Raw genomic sequence first — 22489 nt, forward strand, 5'->3', positions numbered from 1 at the left:
GTAAGAAATTAAATGTGAACAGAAAAACTAGAAAACTGCTAGGAGCAATATGGAAGAATAATTTCACAATTTTATTTTCCTAGGACACAAAAAGCAAAAACTATAAACGAAAAAAAAAATGCTGTCTATTGCATTAATATTAAGAACTTCTGATTATCAATGTAGACTATAAAAAATGATAAAATAAATCACAGACTGGGAGAAGACATTTGTAACACATAAATGACAGAAGTTTAGCATCCAGAAGAGTTAAAGAACTCCTACAAATCAATAAGATAAGGACAAGAGAAAAACTGGCAAGACTTGAGCAGGCGCTTCACAGAAGAGAGAACATGAATGGCCAATAAACATATGAAAAGATGCTCAGTCTCATGAGTGTTCAGAAAATGCAAATTAAATCCATAAAGAGATTACACTTGGTACCCATCAGAATGGCAAAAATTCTAAGTGTGAGAGTATCAAGTGATGGTAAAGACACTGTGCAAATGGAATCGCACCCACTGCTGAAAGAAAACGGGTTTGGAGAACAGTTTATGAAGAACAAATGGTGGAGCACTTGCCAAGCCGGACATCAAGAATTTTCATCACGCCACGTAATTACAACAGTGTGGTGTTGGTGCAGGGTCAGTCAAAGTGATCAATGACACAGGATAAAAAGCCCCAGGATAGGCCCCCTTTTCTATGGAAACTTAATTTATGTTATCAAGTAGAAGATGCAACTGTCCTCTGCCTCAGCCAGACTAACCCTAACAAAACCTGTGCAAAGGTATACCAGGAAACACACAAGAATGCTCACTGCAGCGCTCTTTCTGAGAGAGTGCAAAAGAAAAATCTAGAACAACCTAAACATTCATCAACAGTTTGCTTGATAAGTACATTATGGTATATTCATACAATAAAGGTAGTGTTCTAGTTCTTAAACTGGCGATGAGTAAATGAGGGTTCACTGTACTATTATCCATTATCCCCTCACCACCATTTCTTTATAAATAGTCTTTTCTATTGCCTCATTAATTACTTTTTGCAAATCAAGGAGAGCCCAAAAACGGAGACAAAATAAGATGTTAGAAGCCAGGTGCAGTGGCTCACACCTATAATCCCAGCAACTTGGGAGGCTGAGGTAAGAGGATTGCTGGAAGACAGGAATTCAAGGCTGAAGTGAGCTGTGATCTCACCACTGTACTCCAATCTGGGCAATAGAGTGAGATCCTGTCTTTTAAAAAAAATTTTAAAAAAGATAAAGACGTTAGAACATCAAAGTGTTCCCTTGTGTGTTTCCCCTTTCTTTAGGTTGTTCTTAGATGAACTCCCCTCAGCCTGGAGGCAGTAAGGCCTGTGATCTTGGGTGTGGTCAGCTGAGTAATGGCCTGCAAAGATATCCAGGTCCTAATTCCTAAAACCCGTGAATGTTACCTTATAAGGTAAAAGGGACTTTGCAGGTAGAATTAAATTAAGGATTTTGAGATGGGGAGATTATCCTGGATTATTCAAGTGGGCCCTATTTGATTTGTGATTAAATGTGATTAAATGTAATCACAAGTGTCCTAAGAGGAAGATGTAAGGGCAGAACAGAAGACAGTGTGATCACAGAAGCAGAGACTACAGTAATGCAGCCACGAGGAATGCCGGCAGCCACCAGAAGCTGGAAGAAGCAAGGAATGGAGTGTCCCCTGGAACTTCCACAAGGAACCAGCCTTGCCAACATCTTGATTTTAGCCCCAAAAGAGTCATTTCAGACTTCTGACTTCCAGAACTGCAAGAGAAGAAACCTCTGTTGTTTTAAACCACTAAATTCATGGTTACCTGTTACAGCAGCAATCATAGACTAAAACAGTGGGAAAGGATGCTTGACTTCACCCACCTCTTCGTCTCAGATTGTTTCCCACTTAGCACACCCTGTCCTCTGCCTTCTCTTCTCTCCAACATTGGATGCTACAGTGTCCCCCCGGTAGGAAGACAAAGCAGTGGTTTAATTCCTTCATATGTGAGATGTACCACTTCCCCTGCTGAAAGGACTTATCCCTACAATTTCCAACCAAAGCCAGACAAGTCATTCACACACACCCACAAAATATCCACCCAATGGAAACAGCACTGGGCAGGCAGAGGGACACTTGAATTCAAGTCCCAGTTTCCCAGTGACTGGTTATGTGACCTCATAAACTTCTCAAAGATGGAATCAGAACTTATTCATCTTTATATCCCTGGTGGCTGGCATGCATCAAATGGTCAAAAAAATGAGCAGTACATCAATGAATAAATTGACCAAGCTATGAATCAATCAATCAGTCTTGAGCAAGGACAGAAGTCCAATCACTGAAAAAGGAAATATTTTTAGTGGTTCTTCTCTCTCTCTTCCTTAACCAGTATAAGGAAAAAGATTAAAATCATAAAGTTTTGGTCAGGCATGGTGGCTCACGCCTGTAATCCCAGCACTTTGGGGTGCCAAGGCGGGCAGATCACCTGATGTCAGGAGTTCAAGACCAGCCTGACCAAAATGGTGAAACCCCGTCTCTACTAAAAATACAAAATTAGCCAGGCATGGTGGTGCATGCCTGTAATCCCAGCTACTTAGGAGGCTGAGGGAGGAGAATCGCCTGAACCCGGGAGGCGGAGGTTGCAGTGAGCCAAGATCATGCCATTGCACTCCAGCCTGGGCGACAAGAGTAAAACTCCATCTCAAAAAAAAAATAAAAAATAAAAAATCATAAAGTTTTAGGGTTGGACAGTTTTAGGGTTGGAAGCCAGGAGCTCCCTGCCTCACAAGGCAGCCCAGTGCTGTCAGTGCCAACTACTGGAAACCTTTTCCTTCCAGCAAGCCAAAGATTTATCTTCTAGCCACCCACAGGTTCTAGTCCAATTCTCTACCCATATAAAACAAGCTTACTCTCTTTCCCACATTAAAACATTTTCAGAACATGGACACCTGGCCTTAACTCTTGGCCTAGCCAATCGGGCTAGTGATTTTGACAGATCACCTATCTCTGTGGGTCCCCATCTTCCTTGTCTGTCGAACAAGGGCATGACATCACCAAGACTCCTTCTAGCTCTAAGATGCAGTGTGAAAAACACTACCTTCTTGGCATTCAATCCTTCACTGTTTTAACCTAGTCATTGGATTTTTAATGTCAACACTTTATTTTTTACTTCCAGAAGTGCTTCTTTTCCACATGGGCTTATTTCCCTCCCCCAGGATATGCTGTTTTCTTATATTTTCACTTCTTTGCTTTATTTGTTTTTTCATTTTAAAAAAGACTTATTCTAAGGTCTCTAACTGGTAGCTCTATTATAGAAATAATATATATTATTAATATATGTATGTGCAAAGGGTGCTGGATGGGACAAGCTTGCCACCTTCTAAGAATAGTGAGGAGGCTGCAGCTGAGTGAGAGAGGGGAGGCCACTGCAAGGTAAGGTCAGAGCGTGGGCAGGAGCCAGACCTTGGTGAGTGTTGTTGACAATGGTAAGGACTTTGAGTTTTACTCTTAGTGAGATGGAGCAGTTTTTAAACAGCAGGGGAAAGATGGTCTATCTTACTTTTTTTTTTTTTTTTGGAGATGGGGCCTCGCTCTGCCGCCCAGGCTGGAGTACAGTGGCGTGATCTCGGCTCACTGCAAGCTCTGCCTCCCAGGTTCACGCCATTCTCCTGCCTCAGCCTCCTGAGTAGCTGGGACTACAGGCACCCGCCTCCACATCCGGCTAATTTTTTGTATTTTTAGTGCAGACGGGATTTCACCGTGTTAGCCAGGATGGTCTGGATCTCCTGATCTCATGATCTGCCCGCCTCGGCCTCCCAAAGTGCTGGGATTACAGGCATGAGCCACCGTGCCTGGCCCTATCTTACATTTTAATGAGATCACCGGAGGGACAGGAATAGAAGCAGAGAAAACAGTCAGGAGGGTTTTCAATGGTCCAGGAGAGCAACAGTATTTGGTTGGAGCAGGGTGGCAGTGGTGGAGGTGGGAGTCATGGGTAGACAGGCGAGTATTTTGAAGGCAGAGCTAGGAGAACTTGCTGAGAGCCTGGATTCCACAACACGCAGCCTGAAGTGTGCACAGATCCTGCTGGATCCTGCAACTCCCTCAGGAGGGGCACGTGTGGACTCGTGGTTCTCAGCTTCAGGTGCTCATGAGAAAAAGTCCTTGCATGTTCTTGGAAATCCAACGTGAATCTCCAGCATCAGCTGGCCAGGCTCACTAGCCTCTTTCTCAAGGTGGGTTGTATTCCCTCTCCTCTGAGCAGCGTGACCCACTCAGCCCAATATTCTGTCTCACAGGCATAGCTTTGGCAGTCTAAGCCCTAGTTGTGACAAGACTAAATTTTACACTGATCACAATTAGGCAGCCAATCTGTGAAAGTAAGAAAGGAGGCCAGGCCCAGTGGCTCATGCCTGTAATTCCAGCACTTTGGGAGGCCAAGGTGAGGAATCACGAGGTCAGGAGATCGAGACCATCCTGGCCAACATGGTGAAACCCCGTCTCTACTAAAATACAAAAAATTAGCTGGGCGTGGTGGCGGGCACCTGTAGTCCCGGCTACTCGGGAGGCTGAGGCAGGGGAATTGCTTGAACCCAGGAGGTGGAGACTGCAGTGAGCCAAGATGGTGCCACTGCACTCCAGCCTGGCGACAGAGTAAGAATCCATCTTAAAAAAGAAAAAAAAGAAAGTGAGACAGGAGGGCTGCCTTGACCCCTCTGTGGGACTTGTGACAGGGGTGTGGCTTGCTTACTCGGCCTGCAGTGCTCAAACCCCTTGCAGGAGGGGAAGCATGCAGGTGAGCAGGTGCCAGGGCTGGGGTGAGCACTTTTGGGCTCTGGTCCCGTGGCAGCGTCTAGGGGTGTGTTACAATTAATGCTGTTTTAGCAGTTGCCGTCTGCAGATGGCTGTTAACCAGCTCAGTGGAGAGTCAGGGTGACAGTCTTTTATACCCTGCCCTCTTGGTACCCGGGTTCCAGGAAGAACCCGGCATCCTGGAAGAATCAGGTCACACAGACTTGAAGGATGGTGAATGCAGAGATTTTATTGAGTGATGGAGGTGGTTCTCAGTGAGATGGGGAGCTGGAAAGGGGATACAGTGGGAAGATAATCTTCCCCTGGAGTGCGGCCATCCCTGGCCAAACTCCTCTCAACGTTCAGATGCTTCTCTTCTCTCCTCTGCCATGCCACTCTGCTTCTCTGCCAGTGGAGTTTGGGGTTTTTATGGATACAGGATGCGGGGTGTGGCGAGCCAGAGTGGTTTTGGAAAAAGCAATATTTGGGCAGGAAAACAGGGATAACTGTTCTCATTTAGGGCCGCAGTTTCCAGGCTTGAGGGTGGGGCCTTTGCCAGGGAACTGCCCTCTTCTATCCAGTGTTTCCCTGCCTCCTGTCCATATCAAAAGGTTCTTGGCTGGGCACTGGGTTGACAGAGTCTAGATATGCTATTTAGAACTCATCATAAAAACTTGGGGTCAGAACCTCTCAGAACCAGAAAGCATGAATGACAGTCTAGCACAAATGGTGGCTTGCAATTGAATCCCAGGTCCAAGGTCCACAGACAATAATGAAAACCTCAGGCAAGTCCATCTCTTTTCAATTCACAGGGGACATGATGGCACCCTGTCTCCTGACTCAGCCCTTCTCAGGCTTTATGGGGATCTTGTTAAAATGCAGATTCACCAGGCCTGGGACTCTGCATTCCTAACTATTCCAGTAATGCCAATGCTGCTGGTGCACAGACCACACTCTGAGGAGTGAGGTCCTGACTCATTCACCACCCAACACGCACTCGCTGGGCACCTACTGCATATGAGAAACTATAAGGGAGACGAAGCAGATGTGGTCTGTAAGGGGATATCAACGCACAGACCACTATAGCACCAGGAACAAAGTGACAATGCCACTCTGGAGACCCAGAGGACAGAAATCTTTCTTGGTTAGGGGACCTAGGAGAGGCTTCATGGAGAAAGGTAGAGACATGTATGGAGAGTGTAGTGAAAGCCAGAGGGCACCTTCCAAGGCTTTAGCTATGGAATGGCATCGGTTCTTTGTAATTGCTAATTTCTCCTCAGACTTAAGACCTCCTTTCTTGACTCACGAACAGAATAAAGGGACTAAAAGGGAAGTGAGAAAGATATTTCTAGTGTAGAGATTGAAGGAGTATGTCAGGATTCTCCCAGTTGCACAATACCATATTATGCCAAGGACATTTCTAGGTTTGCAAAGCTGGTTAGGAGTCATTCATTCAACATATATGCTGGTCATTAGGGCTGTTCTTTAGTGAGGAGTGTAACCACTTGAATTCAGGTTTGGCCAATGACATGTGAGCAGAAATGGCATGTTATCATCTCCAGGTGCAGGTACTTATGAGCTAGTATGTGACTCTCCCTACCACAGTGAATCCTGGTGTGTGTGTGTGTGTGTGTGTGTGTGTGTGTGTGTGTGTGTGTGTGTTAAGACAGGGTCTCACTCTGTTGCTCAGGCTCAGTGCAGTGGCATGATCTCGGCTCACTGCAACCTCCAGCTCCCAGGCTCAAGTGATCCTCCCACCTCATCCTCCAAGTAGCTGGGACCACAGGTGCACACCACCATGCCCAGCTAATTTTTGTATTTTTTTTGTAGAGATGGGGTTTTGCCATGTTGCCCAGGCTGGTCTCAAATTCCTGGGCTCAAGTGATCTGTCCACCTCTGCCTCCCAAAGTGCTGGGATTACACGGTCAGCCACCGTGCCCAGCCAGAATCCTGATGTCTTATAACGATAAGACAAAGGAAATCCAGTCAGCCTGGGACTCTCAGTGAATGCGATGAGCAGAGTACCCCTGCCAACCCACAGTAACAGGCAGCAGAAAGCAAGAAATAAACCTTTGTTTTCTTGAGCCACTGGGATTTGGGAGTTGTTCCTGCAGCATACCCCAGTCCATCCGAACAACAAATATTTAATGGATTATAAGCAGCATTTAAAGTTTTCATTCTAGGATATCGGACAGTTCATGGCATCAAAAAAGCAGCTGCAGGAACTGGGGCCCGAGCAACCAGAACCAAGATTCTCTTGTGCCAGCCTCTTTCTCTCACCCAAGTCTCATCTCCATTTATTTTTGCTTTGTTGTATTCTTCACTTTTACTTATGGACTTTCTCCACGTATGCCAGGGGCTTTAGATGCCTCAGCCCTAACTTCATATCTTCCCAACTCTGGAACCCATAGGCAAGGCTATTCTCCCTCAGCTCCAAATCAAGAAACCCTGGGGAAGGATCTCAGTTTGGGTCACCTGCCCACCTCTGGACCAATGTCTGTGCCCAGGGAAATGCATATCTAGGCCTGGGTCACATGCTGACTTCTGTGGCTGAGTGAAGGGAGGCAGGATGCAGCATGCTACCAGAAGGGAATGGAAAACTAGTTTTGCAGCCCAAAGTACTATCCAGAGTCCCCTACAAAGAGGGGGAAAGGATATACACACCTAAGTATGCAGGAGAATGCCTAAGGCAGACTTTGAGCTGTGATCAGTGAAAGGAAAAAAAAAAGGTGGGGGGGCGGGGAATGTAGTATAGATACGCAGGATAGTCCTAAGAGGAAAGAGAAGCAGGGCAAGACAGCCTCTAGGCTGGACAGCTACCTAGAGTGGGAACAGGAGGCACCTTTGTCCTAGAACTGCCAGGTGACTGACAAGGCCACGGGGAGAGGGAGAGATAGGATGTCAGGAGGAGATGTTAACTCAAATAACAGATGCTCTCTGTTTACTAATCTAGTAAATCTGACAATGGGGCAGACCTTTTCTGATCAGGAATGAGCTAAGTGTGGAAGAGCAAATACTGAACCAACCCATGTGCCCCATTGCCATCTTCCCTGCATAAAGCACTCTTGGGACTCCTTCCCCACTGAGCCTAACTCAGCTTCTTGCTCCTCAAGACAGTGTCCTAGGCAGCCTCACTTGCCATCCTGGTCTGGGTACCCACGCATGCTTGAAGGCCTATACCAAATTACCTTTCAAGATTCCTTCTGAAATCCCTACTGTGTGCCCAATAGTTGGTCCTTGATCTATATTTCCTTTTTCCCTGTATTCCCAGGGAAGCCCCAGTGTGACTTAAAAATCCCAAAGTGAAAATAATGTGCTTCTGTATAAAGACAGATGAGATCTGAAAATTCAGAATAAATACTCTGAATATAATGATCCAACTTCCAGTTCCTCAAGAATCCCAATTCCCTTCCCAAGGCCCAGAATCGAGAGGAGAACATCCTTAGTGCCCAAGTGCACCCCCCTCTCCTTACTTCTTTTCGGGGGTTGGAAAAACTCCCCCAGACTAAGAATTCTGGTAACCAGCTGGGCATGTGTGTGGCTCATCCCTGGCAGTGAAATTCTAAAGGTGCCACGTGCTATGGCTGCTGCACTGCCATATCTCTCCTTTCCCTAGCCTCCCTAACTTTCCTGGAAACACACACACACACACACACACACACACACACACACACGTTCACTCACATACACTCATACGTACACAAAACAGCAGCCTCACTAAATGGCCAAAGAGGACCTGAGTCCCCCTTCCCTCATTCTCCCCAGGGCTCCTCCTCCCCCGACATAATACACCCTCCAAAAAAGATAGCGGGCTTCAGAAGGAAGTGGGGAGACTGACCCAGTAATAACTAGGTGAGACCCTCACTTGTCAGCTAACCTCAAATAAGACACAGTGGGAAGAAGTGCATGAAAGCTACTTCTCAGCAGACAGGCAGGATTAGCAAACAAAGAAACAGGGCAGCTCAACAGCGGAGAAATCTAAGCTAGTATTTTTCACTTCCTTGAGGATACTCCTCCTGTTTATAAATAAATGTGATGCATACAGGCCAGCTGGGGAAGGAAGGGACCTAGAGGAACACTGACTCTTGGAGCTCTTAGGACCTGCAAGGTGACTGTGGCCAAAAACCTGTCTCTTAGACAGGGAGCTGGCCCAGGTGGGTGGGAGTTGCCCTTAGGACTGTGATAGTGAGTCAGACCAGCACTGGGACTAGAACCCATGTCTGCTGCCTACTAGCCTAACATCTTTCCTTTCACAATTCAACCGAAACATTTACCCAGCTCCCACAGTGTACTACAGCACAGTGCCAGGAAATCAATCCTCAACCAACTGGAACCCTCCATTAACTGAATCAGTTTCCTGCATGCCACATTTTAAAAGCAGGCCCCAAAGAAAAGCTAGCTTATATTTAAGGATTTACGATATTTTCTTTTTTTTCCATTTGTTTTGCAACAGTTGGGGAACATCTTGAGGACAATCCACATTCCTCCCAGCTCCATCCATTTGCACATCCCTGACCCAGGACAGACTTCATGCTCCAAATCCCAGTCCTGGAACTTAGCCAGATCTTCAGCCATCAAACTAAGACTCTGTCTTGATCATCACACTGTATTTTCTAAAAACTAGTATTTTTTAAAATGTGCAATGTGGAAATAAAATGTTTTCTGCACAGCCATTAGTTATTCAGAAAATTCTGTGGACTTAGAACTCTCTTTCCCCCATGTAGTGAGCTGGGGTTTTAGTCTACTAATCCCATAAGGGGTGAGAAGCTCTTGATCCGTTCAGCCAACATTCTGGGCCTTGGCCAAGACAATGAGGCAATACCTGCTCCTTAGAATAATGCTTCAAAATGGCATATTCTTCCAAGAAGTCACAGAGCAACGTTGGTATCCCCCCTCCAAAAGGGTGCACAAAAACATGCTCTCCCCAGTTTGAAATTCATTCATGCCTAGGCCTTGAGTTGTATGTAAAGAAAATGAAAGGAGGCAAGCAGGCAAGTCCTAAATAAGCCCCTGTGTCCCATGAAGGTATCAACCTGGTTCTGAGTGCTATTGCACTGAGTATCTCTTCCTTAATTCTTTACAGGCTGAGCCAAGGAAGTTAGGAGAAAGAGAGCTGGCAAGAAATAAGCATCTCAAACTGGTCCTCACTCTAAGAGCCTTGCCCGTGGGCACAAGCCTGTCTTGATGCCTGCTGACCTCCGTCCCCAGGGGACAGCAGTAGCCAGCCACTCTGCTTGTCCCCAGGGCCTAGGATTTCCTTCAACACAACCAACCTTCACTCAGTGCATTCAGGTGCCAGATACTTTGTGAAAGACCCATGGCAGGGATAAAGCGGTTGTAAAGGGAAACAAGCCACAATTGCTTTCTTCAAAATGCTCACGGCCAGTAGCAGCAGAGACAACCACGAGCACTGGCTGGCTGTCCCTGGAGGCCATCAGCTTGTTGTGATACCTCTGGTCGGATGGTTGGGACCACACAAAGACAGGAAGACACTCCCTCTCTATCCTCACAACACAGTGATAGGTCTTCCTTACATGTTCTTTGATGTGACAGAGGCTTACAAAACCATGAAAAGATTACTTATACAAAACGTGACTCGCGGATAAAACCATAGGATGCTCCCATACCAGAGGTCTAGGGAGCTTGAAAGAGATGTTTTTCTCAGTGGGGAGTGAAGGTGGAAAAAGCACTGGACTGGACTAAAAATCCAGAGCCTGTTTTCTTCACCAGCTCATCTTGTGTCCCTGAGCAAGGCATATTTCCTCTGCAGTTTTACAGATGAGGGGGAGGACTAGATCAGTTGTTTTTATTAGCAGTAAAACACATATATTTTTCTGAATTGTATTTTATCTAGAACCCCAATATATAAGACAAACAAAAAGGGAACTGCTTGGGTTGAATCAGGGATGAGGAGCCCAGAGCCCATCTGCTCAGGCTGGGTGGCCCTCAGGGAACCCAGTTTGAAAACCACAGGAGTAAATTAAGTCTGAGAGCCCCTCTCATAGGGTTCCCGGGGAGGACAGAAGGAGGGACTCATCATTGATTTAGTGCTCTCCGTGGTGCTTGGCAATTTATATATCAAGTGTCATGGAAATCTTTGCAACAGCAACATGAGGTTAACTAGCTGTGGACTAGCATCTGCTCTGATCTGAGTTGTGAACTGGGATCTTCTGGCAAGAGGCAAAACTGGGATTTGAACCATGGGCGTTCTGACTCCAAACACAGTATTCCTCCCCTTGATAAGAAGTTCCTCAAGGTATGTGGAGTGTAGAATATTGGGCTGAATCAATAATATCCTTGAATTACAAATATATGTACATATATGCAATACAGGAAAATTTCTTGAAGAATATGCCCTCCATCATTATTATTAGTTATCTCTGTGTGGTGGAAATGTGGATGATTTTCAGTTTATCTTTTCTAATTTTCCTGTAATTAACAAATATTGTCTTCATGAAACAGGTATTGCTTATTAAAAATGATGTTCATAACTCATAATCAATATGCTTATGCTAGGTTTCTACAGGGAATTAGGGACTGGGGGATAAGTGGTATCCCTGACCTTTTGGACTTGATAGTGGAAGTAACAATCCCAAATCCCATCAACTCTCCTTGGGCCACATAATGCTGTTCATTTAAATTCTCTGAAGTCTCGGTTCTAGGGAGTGTGGTTGTTTTAGAAAGCAACAGCACATCCCTGAGACACCTCCCAAATATATGCCTCTCCTCTCCACCCCCATCAGTTGCTCATTGTAAAAAAGGGGGAGGAGCCGGGCGTGGTAGCTCACGCCTGTAATCCCAGAACTTTGGGAGGCCGAAGCGGGCGGATCACTAGGTCAGGAGTTCAAGACCAGGCTGGCCAACATGGTGAAACCCCGTCTCTACTAAAAATACAAAAATTAGCTGGGCGTGGTGGCAGGCGCTTGTAATCCCAGCTACTCGGGAGGCTGAGGCAGGAGAATCGCTTGAACCCAGGAGGCGGAGGCTTCAGTGAGCCGAGACTGTGCCACTGCACTCTCCAGCCTGGGCGACAGAGCGAGACTCGGTCTCAAAAAAAAAAAAAAAAAAAGGGCAGGGGTGAGGGAGGTGCTAATAAAACTAATGATAGTCACATGACCCAGTGCTAATAAAACTAATGATAGTCACATGACCCAGGATCAGATGCCCTCACTCCCAGCCCAGCAGGACCTACAGAGAGCCCACCAGCCAGGCCAGCTCAACTCTCCAGCCCCACCCTGAGGGCTTCCCAGAAGCCACTGGCAATATCGATCCCAGAGAGGAAACACCACCCTGAAGGCAAGACAGTGTTGGTCAGGCATGAGGCTGGGCAAGGCGTGTCAGCCACTTTCCTGTATTATTCATGTCGGCTCTGCCAGCAGAAATCTTCTAAATATTTAACATGCCACCTCAAGGTGCAGCGCAAACACCCCGCAGTCAGGAACAGCTGTGGAGAGGCCTTCACGGAATGACTTGGGGGCTGAGAGGCACAGACACTGGCTTTGGGAGGAAAGCCCTGAATGGTGGCGGGAGACAATGCTGAGATCCACTTCGGAAGGGAAAATCAGTAAAGAAGGGAAGGGAGATGGGTGGTGTTTCAAAACGTGGGGAGTGATGGTGCACAATCACTGGGGTCCAGAGCCCCGTGTTCTCAGACAAAGAAAAAGCCCGAGGTGCCTGCCACCCTCCTCCCCGCCTTAGACTCCCCACACCCATTTCAGCCCCTGCTAGCTACAGCAGGTGGCAAATCTGTTCTGACTCAGGCCAGGATGGTTAGGGAAGAACAGGGACTTGGAACAGCCACGTCTATCTCCAAAGGAGAATAAATCCACCGGGGAAGCTCTTCAAACGCCTACAGGTCCTGGGGCTTGAAGGAGAAAATCGGCCCCCACGCCCACCCCCAATGACTTCACACAGACCTCACCCTAGATGACTCTGCGCTCTCCTGCAAGGCCTGGGAGGTGTCATCGCCACCATGCGGGTGGCTGTCACTTGAAAATTTCCCGTGCATTCCTGGAGGTACCTGCCCCTGTCTCTCAATCCCCTGCAAAAGGAGTCGGAGCCGGGGGCTCCAGGCGTTTACTCCAAGATTCACATGCGTCTTCCCATGTCCCAGCTGCCTTTGCCGCTGTCGATGCAGACACCTAAAAAGGAGGATTTTTCCAACCCCACTGGGAGCCCCGCCTCTGCCTCTCCACCCGTTCCGCGCTGACCCTCCAGGCAGCGCCCCTGGTTCGTCTGCGCTGTCCTTTCCACCTGACAAAAGCTGGGGCGGCGGGGCGCGGCGCCGGGCGACCTCACATTTCTGCCAAAGGAGAGAGACGCGTGTCCGCGGTGCGCCCATTCGGGGCCTCTGCAAATCGACCGAGCTGAGGAACAAAGCGGCCAGCGCGCGGCGAGACGCAGCCCCCACGGAACCCCCGAGCGCCCCAGCCCTCGCCGTCCCGGCCCAGCCCCCCGCAAGCGGCCGCCGGCGCCGGCTGCCTCCTGGGCAGCAGCCGCGTCCTGCGCCGCCCGTCCGCCCGCAGGCGTCCTCGGCGGCTACTGTACCTGCTAAATTTAGCTGCGCCGGGTATTAATAGCCCGAGCCACTGGGACCGGGCGCTGTAGGGGCGCGCGCAGCCCGGGGCCGGGGGCGGGGAGGGAGGGGACGGAGGGGCGCGGGGGAGAAGGCCACTTACACCACCAGCCTGGAGATGATCCATGACACCATGGCGGGCAGGCGGGCGGGCGAGGCCCGGGCGGCGCGGCTCGGCTAGGCTGCGGGCGGCGCGGGCTGCTGCGGCGTTCCCGGAACGTCAGTCAGCTCACGGCAGCCGCCGCCAGACTGAGCGCGCCCGCCGCCCTGCCCGGCGTTCGCGCGTTGGCGCAGCCGCGGCACGTTCTGGCGGCGGCGGCGGCGGCCCCAGCCCCCCGGGGCTCGGCGGGCCCGCAGCGATTGGGCGGTGAGCTGGTCAGGGCACCCGCGGGCCCGCCCCGTCCCGCTCGCCCTGGCCCCCGGCTGAAGGCGGGCGCGTCCTGCGCGCTCCCCGGGGCACCGGCCCCGCCAAAGGAACCCTGCAGCGGCCCCGTTTGCAGGGCAGGGACCCGGGTGCTGCCCCACCCTCAGCGTTCCAGCGGAGAAACTGAAGTCCGAACCTGAACCTCGGGAATCTGTCTGCACCTGTCTAGGTGGGATGCTGTCATCCCTCATTCAGCTAGTGCGTTAGCCTCATAAAGGGTTTACCTGGATCCAGACCTAACCTCTTCAGTCTGTCCGTTGCTCAGCACTTTCTGCATAAGAAACAAACCTGGGCGCTTGCCTCCCTACTTAAAATTCTACAGAGTCCCTATATGATCGTGGTACCTGCCTAGAACCGTGTTGCCAAGACCATTCCCCCAAATAGTCCTCTAGCTCTTTTCCCTCCAGGCATCTTGGACTCAAATATTTGCTGTTTCTTCTTCCCTGTCAGTACACGCCACGCCTCATCGTCCTGCCTTGGTTTGATTCAGCTCCTTCTTCTAGGCTGGGCTGAAGGGCTACTTCTTCCTAGGGAAGGCCTTTCCTTGGGGGCTGCTCCGGGCCCTAGGAGGAGACTAGAAGCTGCGACTGCTTAGCACCAGTGCCCCGCTGAGCCACGTTGAACTCTTAGGCAAAAGGGAACTTGTGCACCCTATATAAACGTTTTTATGTATTTTTTAAAATACCGTATTAAATATTATGGTGGTTTTTTTTGTTGTTGTTGTTTTTTTATGAGACAGAGTCTCGCTCTGGGGTGCAGTGGCGCGATCTCGGCTCACTGCAAGCTCCGCCTCCCGGGTTCAAGCGATTCTTCTGCCTCAGCCTCATGAGTAGCTGAGATTACAGGAGTGCGCCACCACGCCCAGCTAATTTTTGTATTTTTAGTAGAGACGGGGTTTCACCATGTTGTCCAGGCTGGTCTCAAACTCCTGACCTCGTGATCCGCCCGCCTTGGCCTCCCAAAGTGCTGGGATTACAGGAGTGAGCCACCTATTATGTATTTTAGTTGCTGAATTTTATGGCACCTCTTAAATGTTGCACCCTCACTGAGCGCCTCACTCTGCTCACCCTAGTCCCGGCCGCAGATAGTACATTATTCTGTTACACTGGAAACGCTTTGTCCTCTACTCCTAGGCTCTGCTGCTGCTTTTCCCACCCTCCAATAGCTTAGGTTCTGCGTGGTGCTCCCAGCGCCCTGTCCTTTGCTGATGATGGTGTCATGTATAATTCAGTGTCAGATGTGAGAAGCGCAGGAGACAGCTTAGTACTCTCAGATGTAGCAGAATCTGTGCGTGCGTGTGCCTGATATAGTCAGAAGAAAGACTTCACGGACAACAAAGGGACTGCAGATGAGACATGCTCTCATATCTCAGGTCTCCAAAGAACCCATAAAATAGCTGTAATGTAGCAGTTTTTTCATGCTGCCTTGACCCAGTTTTGAGGCTCAGGCTGGAGGCTGGTCAGTTCCCCTTCTCCAGCAGTCTATTAACTGCATACCCCCAACCACTTCCGTTAGCAGGCTCTCACACGCGGGACACTATACACCTGTCCAGGGCTAGGCACCAAACAACTAGTTACAGCCCCTGTACTTCAGAACCCGCTGAAATTATCCAAATTAGCCTATCCTATATCTGCTTGCCTTATTTCACTCTTTCCTTCCCTCAGAAACCATGATAAAGATGTTTGTCCACAATTCCCCTCTCTCCCTCTCTCTGTGACAGACCCTGGCCCTGAGTGGACCTGCATGGTGTGCTGTGATCTCTCCAGGAAACTGTGGATATAAAAAGCTCTAAAACTCTTTCTAGCTTCTCTCTCTTGATCTGTGTCTGGCCCCACCATATCTCACTCAAGGTAAGGTTATACGGGTAAAACAATGCTCCACGGGGAAAAGCTTTCCATACTTACTAGGCAAAGAGAACACCAAAGCTAGATCAGGACAGCACCCAGCACAGAGGACCTTCCTGAGACCTCCCTTCCCCTCCATCCATACCCCTCACCTATGCTCCCTGCGTCAGAAAGGCTGTTACCCATCTTGCAGGGGGAGCAGCGGAGGGATGGACTACTGTGGTTCAAAGAGACCCTGTTGGTGGGAAAATAAAGAAGAGGTGACCACATGCTTGTTCCCTACTCCCTATAAGTGGAATTCTCAGATTTGACTATTGCACAGGACTGAGCATTTTAATTACCAAAATGAAACTATTCATGGGGTTAAAATATCTTGAGGTCTTTTCATTAGCTGAAGAGGACCAGAAAACTAGTGAGACCAACACATATTTCTCACAAGGGATGAGAAAGAACTTGTCCATAGAGCGGACTTGGATGGGTAGAGGAGGGAAAAGAAGAAAGAAAGAAAGAAAGTTGCTTTTGTACTGCATTCTGTCTCTTTCAGTGTAACTGTTACACTTATTGTATCTCTCTATCCTGGACCTGCTCTTGTTTGTCCTTGGCCCTGGAAAACATGTGGCCAGGGAACGGACTCCACCTTCTAGACAATGGAACTCTTACAGCTCTATCAGTTTCTTGACTTCAAGTTCTTTTTCATAAGAACTGCTTTGATAATAGATGTCTCTCATCTGTTTTTACCCTGTACCCTTCCCCTTTCTTCTGGGAAGAGCTCTCTGTTTTTCACTGGGGAATGAGTCTCCCCATACTCCAACCTTAGAAACTGTGATTTTCTTATATATCCTCACTACCTTGATTGGCTTATGGGTGATCACCAAACAGAAACTGGGCCAACGATCTCCCTTGGGATTTTTAAAGTTGAAAATAGAAAAAAGAGAATTCCACTTTCTTCTATGAAGCATTGGCTGCTGTGGGAATTGTCCTCCCATTGCAAACAACTAGAAAAACAGGATCAAAAAAAAGAAACAACTGTTTTTCTTTACTTGTTTGTTTGAGACGGAGTCTCACTCTGTCGCCCAGGCTGGAGTGCAGTGCTGTGATCTCGGCTCACTGCAAGCTCCGCCTCCTAGGTTCACACCATTCTCCTGCCTCAGTCTCCCGAGTACCTGGGACTACAGGTAGCCACCAGTATGTCCAGCTAGTTTTTTGTATTTTTAGTAGAGATGAGACGGGGTTTCACCGTGTTAGTCAGGGTGGTCTCGATCTCCTGACCTCGTGATCCACCCTCCTCGGACTCCCAAAGTGCTGGGATTACAGGTGTGAGCCACCGTGCCCGGCAAGAAGCAACTGTTTTTAAGCATTGAACAACAGAGCACAGGACTGTGATAACTAAGAGAAGAGAAACAAATGAAGTGAGTCTTACGTCCGAGCTTACTGTCTCAAAGCAGTTTCCAGGCATCACTGTAGGGATGGAGAACCCAAACAGAGCCCAGAAATTTCACAGAACACAGGAGACAGATCAGAGTCCAGGGAAGCCAAAGTGGCTAGAATTTGTGAAGCAGAATATAAGAGTGATGGGAGATGATTAGAGAGAGAGTTGCAGAGATCTGCAGAGCAGTCACTTCAAGTCATTAGCTGAATACTGTCCTAGGCATGCATGGGTGAAATTCTATGAGGCCATGGGAAGAACTACCAGAAAGCAGTATGCCAAACAATTCCTGGAGCTCACACAGGGCTGGAAGTAATTTGTCTTCATACCAGCCAAAACAGAGACCTTTTATACACAAAGCATTGGCCAGAGTCCACAGAAGGGTATCATCTTAATGCAGGGGGAGGCTAAATTAGCCCTAAAATAAACACTTATCTGGTCCTGCCTTAACAAAACTTAAAAGCAATCTTCAAAAGGATCAAATTGATCTCAAGTAACTTAACTGTGCTCAGAGAAAAAAAAAAGTCCAAGATTAGTTACAAAACAAACAACAACAAAACCCAACACCCAATAAGATAAAATTCACAATGTCCAACATGCAAACAAAAATTATCAGGCATGCAAAGAAAATGACTTGTAAGCAGGTTGAAAAATCAACCAATAGAAACAGACCATGAAGTGACAGAAATAATGCAATAAGCAAATAAATACCTTCAATTTTATAATATTTGAACAGACATTTCACCAAAGAAAAAATACAAATGGAAAAACAAAAAGTACATGAAAAAAATATTCAACATCATTAATCATTAATTAGGGAAATACAAATTGAAATCACAAGAAGATATTACTGCACACATTTAAGAATGGCTACAATGAAAAAGACTGATCATTTCATGTTCTGGCAAGGATATGGAGCAACTGGAACTCTCATATGCTGCTGGTGGGAAAGTAAAATGATACTACTTTGAAAAATGGTTTTCTATATTTCAAAAAAAGTGGAAATTACTTTTGCCTCACACCCTTCCCCTTTCTTCTGGGAAGAACTCTCTACTTTTTTTGGTGAATGATTCTCCCCATGTTCCAACCTTAGAAACTGGTCAGACAGTTTCTTTTTTTTTTTTTTGAGATGGAGTCTGGCTGTGTTCCCCAGGCTGGAATGCAGTGGCACGATCTTGGCTTACCACAACCTCTGCCTCCCAGGTTCAAGCAACCCTCCTGCCTCAGCTTCCTGAGTAGCTGGGATTATAGGCATGTACCACCACACCCAGCTAATTAATATATTTTAGTAGAGACAGGGTTTCACCATGTTGGCCAGGCTGGTCTCGAAATCCTGATGTCAGGTGATCCACCCACCTCAGCCTCCCAAAGTGCTGAGATTACAGGCGTGAGCCACCATGCCCGGCCCAGTTTCTTTTATAATTACATATACACTTACATATGACTTAGAAATTCGATTCTTTAGATATTCACCCAAGAAAAATGAAAACATGTCCACACAGACTTGTCCATAGCAGCTTTATTCATAATGGCCCCAAACTGGAAATAACCCAGATTTTCATCAACTGGTACAAATTGTGGTATATCCATACAATGGAATATTTACTACTCAGCAATAAAAAAGAAATTAACTACATATGCTTGCAACAACATGGATGAATCTCAAAAGCATTATGCTAAGTATAAGAAGCCAGATACAAAAGACTCATACTATATAATTTCATTTTTATGAAATTCTAGAAAAGACAAAACCATAGTAACCAAAAGGGCATAGTGGTTCCCAGATGTCAGGGGTGGGGATTGTAAAAGGGCAAGAGGAAACTGTTTTGGGTGATGGAAAAATTCTATATCCTAATTGTGATGGTAATTACTAACCATAAACAGATTCATCAAACTTTACATTTAGAATTGGCAGGTTTTGTTTTATGTAAATTATACATCAGTAAAGCTAAGTAATAAAAAATAGAAAACATATTTTTCCATGATGTCTTATGAGAAGCTCTGTAGTTGTGGATAACCATGTTTTTATTGGCCTTTTTCTTATTTATTATTTAAAAATGTTTATATATTGAGAAATAAGCTTTTTGACTGTCATCCACATTAAAATCTTTTTCCCAAGTTATCATTTTCCCTTCAGACATTATTTATGACATTTTTTCTTTTCAAAATGTTCAGAATTTTATGTAATCATTTTTATGTATATTTTATGGCTTGTGAGCTTTGTATTGGTTTATATATACCATTTGCCTCTCCTATACTAAAATTACTTATTTTTAAAATTTTTCTTAATTTTTAAAAATTTAAAATTAAAAATATTTCTGTGCATCTGCCTTTAAATTTTAAATTTTAATTTTATACTTTTTATTTTACAGTCCACCTGGAATTAATTTTAGTGTATGAGTTAGTTACTTGTCTTAATACAATTTATTGAACAAGCCACCATTTTCTCCTTCAAGTTGAAAGGCCATCTCCATCATATACTCTGTTCCTTATTATATCAGAGTCTAGTTTTTCTAGACTCTGTTCAGTTCTGCACATCCACTCATGAATGGTTGTAGTTTTAATTACTGCAGTGTTTTATAACATATTTTACTAATAGTAGGGATAGTCCCTTCACTTCCTTTTACAAATTTTCTGGTTATTCTTGCCATTTATACTTTCATTAGACTTTACAGTCATATTATCTCATTTTTTGATAATTCTGATTGTTATTTTTAATTGAGATGAGGTTAAATTTTTAGATTAATAATTAATCATGACAGTATTTGTCTTCCTATCCAAGAGCAAGGTATTTGTTTTCATTTATACAAATTATCTTCTGTGTTCTTAATAGCATTTAATTTTTTCTTCAAGTAGATCTTTCACATTTCTTTACATTGCCATTTGAACCAATGTGTTGTATTCCATTGTGTAAATATACCATAATTAATTTAAACAATTCCATATCATTGGCCATATAGTAATAGATCATTTCCAATTTTTACTGATTAAAAACCTAGGGCCAGGCATGGTAGCTTGCACCTGTAATCCCAACTACTTGGGAGACTGAGGCAGGAGGACTGCTTGAGCCCAGGAGTTTCAGTACAGCCTATGCAACAAAGCAAGACTCCTTCTCTAAAAATTAAAAAATAATTAAAAAATAATTTAGCAATGAACACACTTGTAGCTATATATTTTAATATGTTCATAATGATTTAGTTAGGATAAATTCCTGGAAATTGAGTCTTTAGGGGTATGAACTTTTTGGGCGGCTTTTGATGCATAATGCTAAATTACATTCCCAAAATGTTTCAGAAATGTTTGTTCTAATTTTTGTAAATTATAAGTGTTACATGTGGTATAGTAAGGTCTCATCATACAATCAATAACTTACTTGAATTAAACTTTAAGGGTCAGGAAAGAAAGAGAAAGAGGAAAATGGCCTGTATTACAGGGGTTCTGCCTGTCCTTTCACTTCATGACTTCATGAGAAGGCGCCCTGTGCTGATGATACTAGAGAGGTGGCTCTGCTGTTTCCTCCATAGACCTCGGTTCCTATGACAACCCCACACTCTGTGTGTGTGATTCTAGTGTTCACACATCCATATTGTTTGTACAACATGATCCTAAGCACCTCCACAGCTTCAGTTGGAAATGAACAAAACTGGAAAGTGATCTGATCCACAGCCTGAGGAAAAGCTCATTGTGTTAGACCACTATGAGCCATATAAATAATTTTTTACTGTATCAAATTTTTGCCTTAAACATTGACATTGATATGGAAACTCAACATCAAGTGTACCTACACCCAGAGTTGATCTACCATGAAGATAAAGCATACGTTTTAGGACATCTAATTAGGAGCCTGGGAATGACTCTAGCAGTATATTAACATGATTAGATGTCTTTAATAAAATGTGCAAAATTAAAGATTTTTATTAAAATCTGTTAAGACAGCTGTTTTTTCTAGTTCTCAATCACACTTCTCCTTGTGCTGAGTGTTATCCAAGTGGCTGGAGGCATTTTTGGAAGTTGGCTACGATGAAATTGAAAATACATTTAAAGTTTGGTGGGACATATGTATGGAGCTACAGTGACTTCCATGTCCGTTTTAGCTATGGTTGCTCCCCAATAAAGGAATGGCTTCCCAAAACACTCCTACTGCCCACTGTGTCAACTCACTCAGCTCCACAACACCATAGGCAGAGATAAAGATTGTATCCTACTATGATCGTGGCCTGCAGCCTTGGTCCTGGAACTGCTTGAAGAGTAGAAGAGAAACACAGTTTGAAATGTACAGAGCCAGCATCTAGTCTGTATCTATTCTTCCAGTCATCAGATGTGGAAAACTGTGAATGGAGGGTTCAGTTCTCATCTGTACCCAGTCAAAATGATTCTCCTCTTTCAGGAACATACTCCATAATGCAGTATAGACCACTACAAATGCACTACATCTATTTTTTTAACTTTTTTGGTGGGCATGATGTGAAAGAGAACATATTAGAATGCCTGACTTTATAAAGCACAAACCTATAGCAGTGTTACAAACAGCAAGCAAATCTATGTGTGGAGTCATACGTTTTATGAATCTCAACTCTAAATAAGAAGAAATATAGTTCAATAAACTGTTAGGACAAATTATATTTGTATCCTCTCTACAGAAAATAGCAATACAAAGTTGTTGTCAAATGAAGAAATGATGAAAGTGTAGGCATCCAGAAAATATAGGAAAAAAATTATAAACAAGTCTTAGTCAATAAAAATAATATGTTATTTTTGCTGTTTTTTGACACTTGTGGGTTTTTTTAGCATTTGAAACATTATAGTTTGCTGTGATTTATTTTCTTATTCCAAATAATTTTTTTTTTTTTTTTAGTATTTATTGATTATTCTTGGGTGTTTCTCGGAGAGGGGGATGGCAGGGGCATAGGATAATAGTGGAGAGAAGGTCAGCAGATAAACACGTGAACAAAGGTCTCTGGTTTTCCTAGGCAGAGGTCCCTGAGGCCTTTCGCAGTGTTTGTGTCCCTGGGTACTTGAGATTAGGGAGTGGTGATGACTCTTAACGAGCATGCTGCCTTCAAGCATCTGTTTAACAAAGCACATCTTGCACCATCCTTAATCCATTTAACCCTGAGTTGACACAGCACATGTTTCAGAGAGCGCGGGGTTGGGGGTAAGGTTATAGATTAACAGCATCCCAAGGCAGAAGAATTTTTCTTAGTACAGAACAAAATGGAGTCTCCTATGTCTACTTCTTTCTACACAGACACAGTAGCAATCTGATCTCTCTTTCTTTTCCCCACATTTCCCCCTTTTCTTTTCAACAAAACTGCCATTGTCATCATGGCCCGTTCTCGATGGTCGCTGTCTCTTTGGAGCTGTTGGGTACACCTGCAGAAAGGCTATCACTTCACACTTGGAAGATTGCACAGCGGCCAGGCAGAGGCGCTCCTCACTTCCCAGAGTGGG

General features: G+C 45.5%; 1 protein-coding gene across 11 annotated transcripts in view, besides 1 other annotated feature; it reads right to left on the reverse strand.

The window, feature by feature from the left end:
* The window catches only part of REEP1 (receptor accessory protein 1), a 124091-nt gene extending 110039 nt beyond the window's left edge, over positions 1 to 14052 (reverse strand). For 7 of the 11 annotated variants that reach the window (NM_001164731.2, NM_001164732.2, NM_001371280.1 and 4 more), the window contains exon 1: positions 13448 to 13595. In NM_001164731.2, the coding sequence (NP_001158203.1) occupies positions 13448 to 13471 (24 nt within the window). In that variant the 5' untranslated portion in view covers positions 13472 to 13595. Of the gene's footprint in view, positions 1 to 12690; positions 13103 to 13447; positions 13596 to 13992 lie in introns of those variants that run through there. The other 4 variants (NM_001164730.2, XM_017004725.2, XM_017004726.2 and 1 more) reach the window with 4 other exon arrangements.
* Positions 123 to 624: an enhancer, noted in NCBI's record as "H3K27ac hESC enhancer chr2:86551277-86551778 (GRCh37/hg19 assembly coordinates)". NCBI's record gives its function as "activates a minimal SCP1, AML or CMV promoter by ChIP-STARR-seq in naive H9 embryonic stem cells {active_cell/tissue: H9 hESC(naive)}" and the evidence as "EXISTENCE:reporter gene assay evidence [ECO:0000049][PMID:30033119]".

The sequence above is a fragment of the Homo sapiens genome, chromosome 2 (assembly GCF_000001405.40).
Source record: "Homo sapiens chromosome 2, GRCh38.p14 Primary Assembly".
Classification (NCBI taxonomy): Eukaryota; Metazoa; Chordata; class Mammalia; order Primates; family Hominidae; genus Homo; species Homo sapiens.